The sequence below is a fragment of the Homo sapiens genome, chromosome 2, assembly GCF_000001405.40.
Source record: "Homo sapiens chromosome 2, GRCh38.p14 Primary Assembly".
NCBI lineage: Eukaryota > Metazoa > Chordata > Mammalia > Primates > Hominidae > Homo > Homo sapiens.
Genome location: NC_000002.12, coordinates 188,568,494 through 188,581,302, shown reverse-complemented (window position 1 = coordinate 188,581,302; position 12,809 = coordinate 188,568,494). Strand labels below are relative to the sequence as shown.

The following is a 12,809-nucleotide window of genomic DNA, read 5'->3' as shown; positions in this document are numbered from 1 at the left end:
AAGGTTCCTGAGGGTTTTTTTCGGACAAGAGACGGTAGGAGGGAGAAGGGAAGGGCTAGCAGTAGAAAAGTACTGAATACTGAGTCATACTGGAGAAAAGTGGTCTCCAAGACCCTCGAATAAGGTGGTCTCAGGAGAGGCACCTAAGGCCCCCTAAAAGGAGGCCCCTGAGTGGAGTTGCCTGGGCTATAAATGCAGATATGCACAAGAGCATGGCTGGCCAGGGCACCTGAGTACTAGATTCAATTCCTCCAAACTGTGCACCAAATACAATGTGATGAGGGCACCTTTCTCCCACCAAATACAATGTGATGAGGTGTGCCAGGCAAAGCCTTTGTAACTGCCTACGCTCGGGCCAGAAAGATCGCACATAAGATTCTGGCCGGGAGCCACATTCCTCAGCCGCAAATCACATGTCAGAGATCTTTCACCACTAACAAAAATTCAGGCAGCCAAAAATAATCTGATTTTTGATAAACTTTATTGTAAAAGGTAGTAACTAAAATTAGAATTTTAAGGACCAACAAGTCTGAGGTATGTCCTTAAGCTAGGAGGCCCCCCTTCACATATTTCTGGAAGCAGAGAGAAAAAGGAAGCCATGTAAAGTGAGAGATTAAATTGAGGGAAGGGTTCAGTGTGGAAGCAGAACCTCTGCTAGTCTGAGTTATATAATTAATCACTCTATTAATATGCATATATAAATACATAATTTTTTATTTCTCTGTTGATCTCCATTTTTTTTTTTTTTTTGAGACGGAGTCTCGCTCTGTCGCCCAGGCTGGAGTGCAGTGGCGGGATCTCGGCTCACTGCAAGCTCCGCCTCCCGGGTTCACGCCATTCTCCTGCCTCAGCCTCCCAAGTAGCTGGGACTACAGGCGCCCGCCACTACGCCCGGCTAATTTTTTGTATTTTTAGTAGAGACGGGGTTTCACCGTTTTAGCCGGGATGGTCTCGATCTCCTGACCTCGTGATCCGCCCGCCTCGGCCTCCCAAAGTGCTGGGATTACAGGCGTGAGCCACCGCGCCCGGCCTTGATCTCCATTGTAATACACCTCCATCTATTTATGTAGAGATGTGTATGTACACAATTTTTAAAATCTGTTTTTGTTCGATATAACTTACTGTAAAATTCTGTCCTTGGTAGCCACCTTTTAATTACAGATTACAATTGTAAGCTCTTTGTGAGAAAATTTTTGTTTTTCGTTCCCAAATACTCTATGTAACACATTAGTGTAAATGATATTTATTGTCTAATTTATACCAGAGCATCTTTTTACTTAAACTGTTAATTGATAAGGCTGTCTGTACTGAGTAAAGATAAGATATTAAGTGGAAGTTGTCCTTGATATTATCTAGTTTAAAATATACATGGTAATACTCTATATTTTTTAGGATATATGTTGGCCAAAATTCTTTACTAGGTACCTGAAAACCAACTGAAGGTCAAAATAACCTTACTTGAAAGTGCTCTGTTATTTTTATCATGGTGTCTGCAGTATTCTCATAGTACTACTTCCTCTGGGGAGGTAAACTTACAGAAATGGAGAATGTATATAATATAAAAATAATCAAGTATTTATATACTACAATTAAGAGGTTTTTTCAATTTCAGAATGGTAAATCAGGGATATTTAATAATGTCAACTGTTTTGGTACTAGAGTTTAATACTCCAGAACTAGTCCTCACAGGTCTTCTTTGGATCATCAGCAATTTGGCAGTTTTTGTTTAGATCACATGGGTCTTTTAAAGTATAGAACTAGCTGTTCCCAACACAAAGAAAAGATAAATGTTTGAGGTGATGGATATTGCAATTACCCTGACTCGATCATTACACACTGTGTGCAGGTATCAAAATATCATCTCTACCCACAAACATGTACAACTAATATGTATCAATAGAAATTTTTAAATTAAAAATAAATTAATATATAAAAATAGATTACATATTAAAATCCAGAACTTTTCTCCAGAAGTTAGGAAATCTAGAAAGTGGGCCCACATACTTGCATGAAAATAGTTGAGTGGTATTGAATATCTGCTGTGTCTTTGAAGGTAGCCTGTGCTTTCAAATTTATCACTCCTACCATATGCCCATTTCACACTTGAATGTCATAATCTGGGCTATATTAAAGTTTGAGTTTTTGATTCCTAACCTAGAAGCAATTCAAGTCAAGGAATCAGATGTTATATGTAATTCCCTATAAAAATGAAATCTAAGTCCAGCACATTTAAATATATGGATAAATTTGGTGCTTGATTCTGTACTAAATGGTTAGGCCTATTCAATAAGGATATGAACGTGCGGATGTAGCACCTAAATGGCAAACAGTGACAATTTCGCACTTAGGTTTCAAGGTTCTGGAACCAGTCTTTTTTTTGGCTGCTATTTTTAACTGGTTGAGGATGTTTATGTGTTAAAGTAATTAAATACATTGTTGAGAAGAAAATCAGTTTGAGGAATTTTATTTTGGTCTTTCTGTCAGTGTTCTGACAGATGGCTAGGAACCAAATTTTTTGGATTGTCCTACAGAAGTACATGGCACCACTGTTCAAGCAACTGCTTTATGTTCGTAGTTCCAGGTGTTTTGGTCTTTAGGAACATGCACAGTATCTGAATTATTATACTTAGGGGAATTCTGTGCTCAAAAATTATATGGTAATTATACAGAAGTTGTTAGGTTATTCAGATATATTAATAATGAGTGTCCATGTTTGAGATTTGTTGTTGCTACATTTTTGTAGCTCTTTTTATTCTTTTTTTTTTTTATTTTACTTTAAGTTCTGCGATACATGAGCAGAACATGAAGGTCTGTTACCTAGGTATATATGTGTCATGGTAGTTTGCTGCACCTATCAACCTGTCATCTAGGTTTTAAGCCCTATATGCATCAGGTATTTGTCCTAATGCTCTCCCTCCCCTTTGTAGCTCTTTTTTTTCAGTAAGTAGTGTCTTGGTGCATTTAGGCAATGGTGAATATTTCAACCTTGAGTTTTATATAAATGTGACAACAAAAAGAAATATAAAAGTGTTTGAATTCTATCCACAAATATTAAATACATTTAAACAATAATAACAGAAACACTGCTTTTAAGATTAAGCAATTCTGTCATAATATCTACAGAAATATTAGCATTATAATGAAATTTTATGTTTTGCTGTTAATTGCACTGGCAATAAAAATATCCAAAGACTTTTTAAACATAAAACAAAAATGTCAAGATTAAAATATAATTTATCACAATTACTAAAATGGCAGGGTTCAAAATTCTATTTATAATTAAATTAAGAAATAATTAAGAAATAAATTCCCTTACATTTATATATTAAATCAATTTTTTCTAGTTAAAAAACCCGAAAAATTATAAATAACATTAAAGATGGAGAAAGAAAATGGTAGCATAAAATGTTCTAGCAGATCTTTCTAGATTACCATGCTGATTCATACTTTTAAAGTTCATTGTTATAATGTATCTTCAATATCACTTTTTAAATAAAGTTTAAAGGTAATGACTTCTCTAATTTAGAACTTACAGCAGAAGATCTGTGTTTTTTCAGATTTCTAGGTCTGCAGTTGGTTTATACTGATCTCTTAGTTGTAAGACCTACTATCTTACAGTTTTCACAAGAATCTTTCAAGTTAAATGGATATAATTGTACCACAAAGTGGAAAACTGAAAGAAGGAGAGGCTAAATGACTTGACCAGGTACTTATGATCAGAACTGGAATGGGAACATATTTTTCTTCCCGTTAGACAGGGTTTATGCTTTTAGAATTATCTTGTGCAACTAACAATTATGAAAGTGAAGTTGCAGAATGGTAATCATTTTTTGTGGGCATCAAATATTCTTGAACCAATTCATGTTTAAAATTTATGCCTTTGTTTAAAGATTCACATTCAGCTTGTTGTGTAATTAAGACCTTTCACAATCTGCTCTTGCCCATTCTCACTTCAATAGTAGCAGAAAAAACACTAGAGGAAAATAAATAGATACATTGTTTATCCACAATGAAATATACGTTTTAGGTTATAATTGTCCTATCAAGTCTAATCAGTGGCCACACAGTTGATTATGTAAAGAAATAATTTTATCTAACACTGGGTTTAATTGAAAGGAAGACATTTGTTTTACTCAGCAATAGAATCCAGTATTCCCTAGGACTACAATTTTACTCACTTAACTTCCTGGCAATAGTCTGGTTTGGTTAAAACCTTCTATAGTCAGAAGAGTAAAATGAAAGTACCCAGATACAAGAATCAAGAGGAACATTTTGATTTAACTTGTTATGCCCACATCTTATAATGAAACAATCTTCTGCAGGCATTCATGAGGCTATGAGGCTATGAGGGCAGAATAAACTCTTTTTCTAATATAAATACAGGCAGCATTGCCATATGAATGTAATAAATGGAAATCAGATTGTTCCCAGAAAATTAGTACCAAATGGTGGAAAACCCAACCTCTAATCTATTGCCAAACCACTGAAACACAGCAAAAAGCAAACAGCACAGTCAAGTAACGGAAATTTCTCAGTGTATCTAAGTGACTGTATAAAATAAGGATCCAATTTCTAAAACCATTGAAAAGATTTCCACAATTTCAGTGTGATGCAGAGGTATGTAATATAGGTACAATTGAAGGCTATTTCACTTGATAGAAAAGGAACCCATGATTGACCCAACTGTGTGGTATTTAGAAGATATGTAAGTATTCTGTTTAAAAACAAGTAAGAAAATATTTTATATACATGAAGTGTTATATATTCATATCAATTTTTATATGAGAAAGTGAGAAATAGGAGTGGTCTCCATTTATCATGCATATGAAGAATTGGTGAATTGGTTTTAAGTGAAAAGGGTCGGAAGCAAATATTAAAGGTATACTTTTTATTGTTAGGGATGTCTTAATTTTAATACTGAACAAAAAAGTAGTCTCATATTATTTTCTTTAGCTAGAACTCAATTACATAAGCTCACAGTGACCAAAGTTATATTGGGCATATTAACTAAACAATAAACAATGACAATAAAAAAGGACAAGCTTTTTTTTTTCACTCAAGCACACATCATGAGACCAGACCTTCTCTATGAATTCCAGATTTGTATATTCAGCCATCGAATAAGCATCTCCAATTGGCTGTCTAGTTGGCAGAAATAACGTAGGCAAAAGTGAAATATTGATTCTTTACCACTCACTACTCCTAAGTCATGTCTATTTCAGAAAATGGCATCACTTCCCACATGTTAAGGAGAAAACCTGAAGGGACATTCCTGCTCCTTTTGTGTGTGTGTGTGTGTACTGCCCCCAACCAATCCATTAGTAAATTTTGCAAGCTCTACTTTCAAAATGTGTCAAAAATCAAGCTCTGCTCATAACCTCCACAGGTAGAATTATAGGCCAATTTACCCTTCTCCTAGACTACTGAAATGTCTCCTTCTGGGATATCACTTTGGCCTCTTTAGAGTCCATGCTGCATATAGCAGCCAGATGATCCACAAATCCCATTTAAAACCTTCAAGTGACATATCATTGCATTAAAAAAAAATACCAATCCTTTGCCATTGCCTGTGAAGGCTTATCAAATCTAGACTCTGAGTTTCTCTTCAATGTCTTTTCCAATTATTTTGGCTTTCAGTCACTACACTGCAGCTGCAAAGTTCTTGTTATTGTTTTCAGCCTGTTGCATTTGCTAACATTTTATCATTCAGATTGCAATTCAAGTGCTACCTCCTTAGAAGGAGCTTGCTTCCCTGGTCACTTTCTCTAAACAAAATTCTCAATCATTCTCTTCTATTCTGCTCTATTTTGTTTTATTCATAGCATATATAAGATCTACATTTTTACATGTATTTATTGAAATATTTACGTGTTTATTACCAACCTCTCTTTCTTTCCCCCATGGATGTAAACCCTTTAACATCTGAAATACATAAACTGTAAAAACCAAAGAGCCTAGACGTATGGAAATATTAGATCTTCAGTACACATTTTATAATATTCCATAGCAGATCACAACTATATCAAATGTATACAATAGACAAGTGAGACAAAATGAAAATTAAAGTGATATGCATTGTAACATACGGTCTACTACTAAGAACAATTTCAAAATCCCAGTGATGAAGCAGTGGGACTAGGAAGACCAAAACCAAAACTAAAATGTACACCATAAAACCTTGAGGGAACTTTTTAGAAGTCTTGAATATTTTTATTCAAGGCTTCAACCTAAAATTATTTAGTTTGCAATTCAAAATCCATCAGTATGACCAATTCATGTTCATGTATATAACATATAAGTGACTGACAAACTTTCTAAGAAATAGCAACCTTCCCTTAGAGTGTCTCTGAGGAAAGTAGAAACATGCACGTATGTTCTCACCTAAACAGAGACTCTTTAAAATACAAAGGTGTCCATGTAGATCATTCTACTGCATTGGGCCTCACATTTTAAATTTATGATTTAACATAGAATAAGGATATCAACATCAATAAGACTGTAATATATTATTAGACGATTTGGTAGATTTGAATCATTGTCTTGTATTACGGAAATTCAACTTTAACTTTGGACCTCTTGTTAGAGAAGATGGCTTGTCATTTTTTAGTTATCTAGCCAAGTTTTGTTGTTGTTGTTGTTTGTTTGTTTGTTTTTGAGACAGGGTCTTACTCTGTGACCCAGGCTGGAATATAGTGGCATGATCACGGCTCATTGCAACCTTGACCTCCCAGGCTTACCATAGCCTCCACCTCCCCGGCTCAAGCAATCTTTCCACCTCAACCTCCCAAGTAGCTGAGACTACAGGCATGCACCATCATGCCCAGCTAATTTTTGTATTTTTGGTAGAAATGGGGCTTTGCCATGTTGCCTAGGCTGGTCTCCAACTCCTGGACTCAAGCTATCAGCCTACCTCTGCCTCCCAAAGTGCTATGACTATAGGCATGAGCCACCATGCCCAGCCTAATCAAATTTTATCAAGAATGTTTCTGTTGCTTGCCACATCTGGCTTCATCTTCTACTTCATCATAAACTGAAAATAAAATAATATCTATAATAGTGATTTACATTATTTTTATTTTCACTTTACTTTTAATTCCACAACTCCCAAAATTCCATTCCTACTTTTTTTCTTTCCCTTTCCCCAAAGAGACTATACTAAAGCTAAGATTAAATATGTCTTTTATTTGACTAGCAATTGCTTAGTGTGAACTATATTGTGTTAGACCAGCATATCCAGATATTTTAGAACATTATTGTGCTTATAAGTATATATTTGTGAACCAAATTATAGCATTAAATCATTTATAAAGAACTACACCTCAATTAGAGATTTTTGACAAAAGTGTCACCTTTCTGTGACTTGAAAAATTTGGCTTCCAATGGGATCAAGACCTGTCTTGGGCTGGTCAGTTGTGAAGAGTTTTCTGTGTTAGGGGCTCCTCTCACCACTAAAAACTCATCAGATGCTAAATTAATTGCATACACCATACCCACCTATGTTGTAATTCAATATGCATCACGGGATTCATAATTTACTTCAATGCTTCTTTAATGAATGTGTAGATCACTGCCTCTAATCCTTTGAATAAACTGATGAGAACTTACTCATTTTGGAGCACTCTAATCCTCAGTCCTCTGAGCTCAAAACAAACACATAAAACCCACAGAGTCCTATTTCCAGGGTTATAAACTCATTAAACATTTACTTTGCTAGCCATGGGGGCACTCTGTGAGGTACTTTGTGTTCCTGCTGTGTGTCCTGTAAAACTGATGTTCAAATTTCATAAGAAAGAACAGATGTAAAACATTTCTAACTTAACAGAAATTTGCTTTATTGCAGACACATGGTAAGCTATTAAATATTTTAAATTCACATTTTATTATTTGCAATTTGCATTGTCTGTTTTTCAAATTCAATAATCTGAATCATTAATAAATCTTCAAAAATAATTGCAGGTAACTATTTTTGTTTTATTTTAATATCAGGAATTTGGGAGCTCATTTGAATAGATATGAGATAAATAAGCTGTACTTAAGTGTTCTACGAGTTTATTTCATAGCTACATTACTAAAATTTGAAATGAAAGGCAAAAATGTTTTTTAATAGGAAACACATTAGCAAATGCTGTAACAATGTTTTTTAAACCATTTGAATTGGTTAGATATCTCATTAATTTACATTTTACATTTTAGCATTTAATTTTACATTTAAATTTTAGCAATTTTAAAATGCTCTTGAGTTCACTTTCTTCTAAAAATCAAATAAATTCTATTTTCACATATTTGTTGTGAGAACAATTAAAACTACTCTTGGCAATTTTCAAGTATATAATACCTTGTTATTAACTATAATCACCATGTTGTACAAGAGATCTCTTGAACTTATTTCTCCTAATTAAAATGTTGCATCCTTTGATCATCTTCTAGACCCTTTCTCCACAACTCTGCCCCAGCCCCCAGCAACCACTAGTCTACTCTCTGCTTCTATGAGTTTGACTTTCTTGGATTCCACATATGAGTGACATCACGTGATATTTGTCTTTCTGTGCATGGCTTATTTCACTTAGTATAATGTCCTCCAGATTCTATCTTAATGAAGATGTATATCTTCCAGCATATCAACAATTTAAAAAATCATATGATAAGATTTTAAGAGCTAAAAAGCCATGTGACAAATAATTTTTAAAGTTAAAGAAAAAGTGTAGACAACAACATTACATGACAAAAGACTATAAGTAGATTGCAAAGTTATAATTTGTTATTTCCATAATGATCAAGGATACAATAAATTTTCTACATATATATGAACTCAGTGTAAGACCGTGATTTAAAGAAAGTGATTTGTTTTTAAATTCAACCTCTTAGTTGTAGTTTTTGAAGCATTTTATTTAGATAAATCCAGGCTGAGATGAACACAATGCCTAAAATAATTGTTAAATGATGTAACCTCAGGAGTGCTAATTCATTTTAAAACATAGCTATTTCATTATTTTTACTCTTTATATATAACTGGCTCTACTAATGAGAATTGCTAAATAAATGAATTATACTTATGAATAGGCTATGTTTCATTTATATACCAACTTGCATGCTTTCCACTTGAAATGGCTATTTCAGCCAAATGGTCAAAGACACTGAAGCAAGGGTCATCTTGTCATTCCTCCTGTCCTTTGTCATTTCTGAAGCTGACTCAGTAACCCTATGAGATCACCAATGCACATTAATAATCCTGACCCACCTTCTTCTCAGAGCAGTGTCTGCTTTGGGAAGATAAAAAAGGTAGGCTGCAGTTTTATTAATATGTTTGAAACCTCTTTGCTCCTCTCAAATGTTCTTCCTCAGATAAAGAGGTTACACAATGACCAGGTTTGGATTTGCATCCAAGAAGGTGATGGAGCTTATTTTACTCCTTTGTCAACACAAAAATGAAAGCAAAGCTACTCTTCATATGTGATGAATTCCAGAAACAACTACGTTATCAAAACTCCTTGAAAAAGTTACTTCCCTTCACATAAATGAAGTACATTTATTCTTATTCTCCTAGCATATTTCGCAACATGGCTTACAATATGAATTTCAACAAAACCCAAGAGGATGTGTGTTCCATCTTGGGATGGAAGGTTGAATAATGAGTTTGAACTGATGTTCTGTCCCTAGCAGCGAGAGAGGCAAGAAAAAAATCATAATCCTGGTGAGCAGCAGACAGTGACAAGAAAAAATAAGAAGGAATATCAGAATAAAACCAGAACCTGAAGAGGATGCTCCAGCATAGATACATTGGTACCTCAGTCCCAACCTCTCTCATCAAGGCCATAGGAGCCCTACTGGCACAAACCATCTGCCAAGCAATGGAAATACTCACTCTTTCAAATGGGAGGTGGAAAAATGTGAGTTTACAGGAAAAATCATTTTTTGACCCATTTCCAGAGTGTGCCAAGTTTGAAACCCTAAATGAAACTTCTATAGAAACATCCTTTTTCATAGTGATGAGCTTGTGAATGATTCTAGTATTAGATATTAAGAAATGAACATTTTCATTGAGTTTATCCTACGTATTGAAGCACAATAAGCTTCCATAAAAAATTTTGCAACAAATTTCTTTTTTCAGTTCATGTTTATGTTATAAGTTAGATATTAATTTTTTTTGAAACAGAGTCTTTCTCTGTCACCCAGGCTGCAGTGGAGTGGTGCTATCATGGATCACTGCAGCCATGACCTCTGGGCTCATGCCATCCTCTTACCTCAGCCTCCTCAGTGGCTGAGACTACAGGTGTGTGCCAATATGCCTGGATAATTTTTTGTATTTTTTGTAGAGACAAGGTTTCACCATGTTGCCAGACTGGTCTTGAACCCCTGGGCTCAAATGATCTGCCTGCCTTGGCCTCCCAAAATGTTGGGATTACAGATATAAGCCACTGTGCTTGGCATAGATATTAAATATTTTTAAATGAAGAATAATAAATACACTTTAATAAAGAATATCAGTAGTACAGATGATTCAAACAGAAAAATATCTTTTCCTGAATATATTTTGCCTAGAAAAAATATTGTTTTAAATTCCACCTCCCTCCAATAAATTCCCTTTGCCAAAATCATGTAATAATGATATCATACATGGTATTGGGAAAAGGATTTCAAAACTGTGACAAGTCAGACATAAATATTTTAACTACAAAGACTTGAGTTTTGTCTGCAGAGAATACCACTCATTTTAATGTTTGAAATACAATTGCCTCACTCCCAGCGGGAACCCTTACCATGTAATATAAGAAACCAGGTTCAGTCTTGCTCACAGTTGAATTCCTACAATGAAGTTGAGCACTTCAAGGGGAGACTGGCATAGGTCATTAAATCTAACCCAGCAAATAGTAATTAATAGAAACAAAAGAAGAATATGCCACAAAGAGAAAAATTATATTATGTAATAAAACTTAAGACTAACCTGAGGGTTGAATTATGTTAGAAAACCCAGAGGAAAACAGCAACATAGAAAACAACTCTGATTTGAACTGACTAGGTAATTTTAAGTTTTAAATTAAACTGCTTAGCAGCCTTCATCTCTATCCATGTTTACTTTGAAATTACTGATCCCCAAGTATTATATGAAATATTGCAGAACTAGTGATACACAGATGTTTTATCACCATAAAATCTTGTTTCTAAGGATATTCAATATACTCACTGGAGGTGCTGATACTTGAGTTATTCTCAGTTGGTTTTCCAAATCTTGTACTTTATTTTTAAGTTCCATATTTTCTGTTTCTAAGTCTTGGATCTAAAAAGAAAATCATTATTGAATAACTTTCTGTTTTTTTTTTCTTGGAAAATATTGGCTACAGTTATGAGTAGGAATTTATATTACGTAAAACTTTAATGTACTTTGTTGTGCGTGGGGAGAAAATTGTTTGATAAAGCTTGGGAAATGCTGGAGGATTCTAGATCATTGAAAGACTTAAATTTATAATATATTTTTATGTGTGTGCAAATTTTATGTTCCTAATATCTCAACATTGTGTTTTCTTGTTGGACTGTGCAATCTATACCCATAATCTTGGAATATAACCACAAGACAGTGAAACTTGCTTATGATGATTTTGAAGAGTGGAGAAAGGCATAATTTAATTACCAAGGAATCTGATCTGCATGGAAAACCACTTACCCAGCATCTGCTGCTTCTGCTGCTCTGATCCCCATGAGAAGCATCAGGAAGTGAAGCAAAGTCACATGAGAACACTAAGTTCTTGTGGGAATTCAATATAAAATAGTTAAAAAAAAAAAACTGTGCAGGGGATCAGGAACGAAAAATTATGGGAACACGGTGAAAGCAGTTCCAATCAGTCAGTGTGGGTGAAATTTAATGGCAGGGCTTCTAAATTTGTTTGACGATATGCAAGTTTCCCTGTACTTACATCACACAAATGTAAAACAACAAGCTTAGTTTACTCACTCTTTTTTGTAACCCTGCGATCTGTTTTCTTGTTTCAACATCTTTTCCTCCTGATTCTAGAAATTTCCTGTATGCCAGGTCAAATGCTTGGCCAATTGTTAAAGTGATCTCTTCAGCCTGTGTAAAAATCAAACAAAGATTTGCATTTTAATAATATGTCAAACTGTTTTTGAATCGAGAAAACAACATTCATATAAGCACTTACTCCAAGACATTCACAAGAGGTACTTCAAAAGGGCAACAGTTGGGAGTAGAGATGTATTAAATGAGCAAGGTAGTAGGCTAATGTAATAACTCAACACCTACCCAGGCACAACATTGAAAAAACAAGCGGACTTGGGGGTGGGTATTACTGAATAGCTGTTGAAGTGGGAAAGTTGGAAGCAAGAGTTCTTTATGTCAAACTTCTCATCTCTTTTATTGTATTGTTTTTTCCTACTTGTTTTTCTCCCTTTCTCAAATATTTAGTGCCTATGAAATGAAAGCAGAGTGCCAAATGTAGTTTCTCTCCTTGCTTTGCTATTTATTTCCTTTTCCTTGTGAGGAGGGTTTGTTAAACCCTAAGCAGGTAACTTGAATGAGGCTGGCCAGGTGGTGTCTCTGGAAAACTTGAGGTATGCCCTCTAAATGGAACACCTGCTACTCTGTCCCAGTTAATTGTTGCCTGGTGGAAGTGAGCAATTCCAATCTGAAACTGTCAGATCTTATGTATGAAAGATGAGGCCAGAAGTCTGAAATTTTATATGAGAGCTCCCAATTTTAAGCGATGGTAAACAGTTTGTATTTTGGTAAAACACAGTGCCAGTGATCAAAATATATATGTCATCTGAATTTGGGCTTGTAAACAACTTACAATCTCAGA

The 12,809-nt window shown here is 34.7% G+C and overlaps 1 protein-coding gene across 69 annotated transcripts in view; it reads right to left on the bottom strand.

Moving 5' to 3' along the window:
- The window catches only part of GULP1 (GULP PTB domain containing engulfment adaptor 1), a 304,053-nt gene that overhangs the window by 14,624 nt on the left and 276,620 nt on the right, over positions 1-12,809 (bottom strand). For 62 of the 69 annotated variants that reach the window (NR_164745.1, NM_001375929.1, NM_001375936.1 and 59 more), the window contains 2 exons: positions 11,948-12,064; positions 11,183-11,275 (listed from right to left, as the gene is read on the bottom strand). Coding sequence is in view for 67 of the 69 variants with exons in the window: in NM_001375929.1 (NP_001362858.1) it covers positions 11,183-11,275; positions 11,948-12,064 (210 nt within the window). In the remaining 2 variants the exon portion in view is untranslated. Of the gene's footprint in view, positions 1-11,182; positions 11,276-11,659; positions 11,684-11,947; positions 12,065-12,809 lie in introns of all 69 variants that reach the window. The other 7 variants (NR_164744.1, NM_001375941.1, NM_001375951.1 and 4 more) reach the window with 1 other exon arrangement.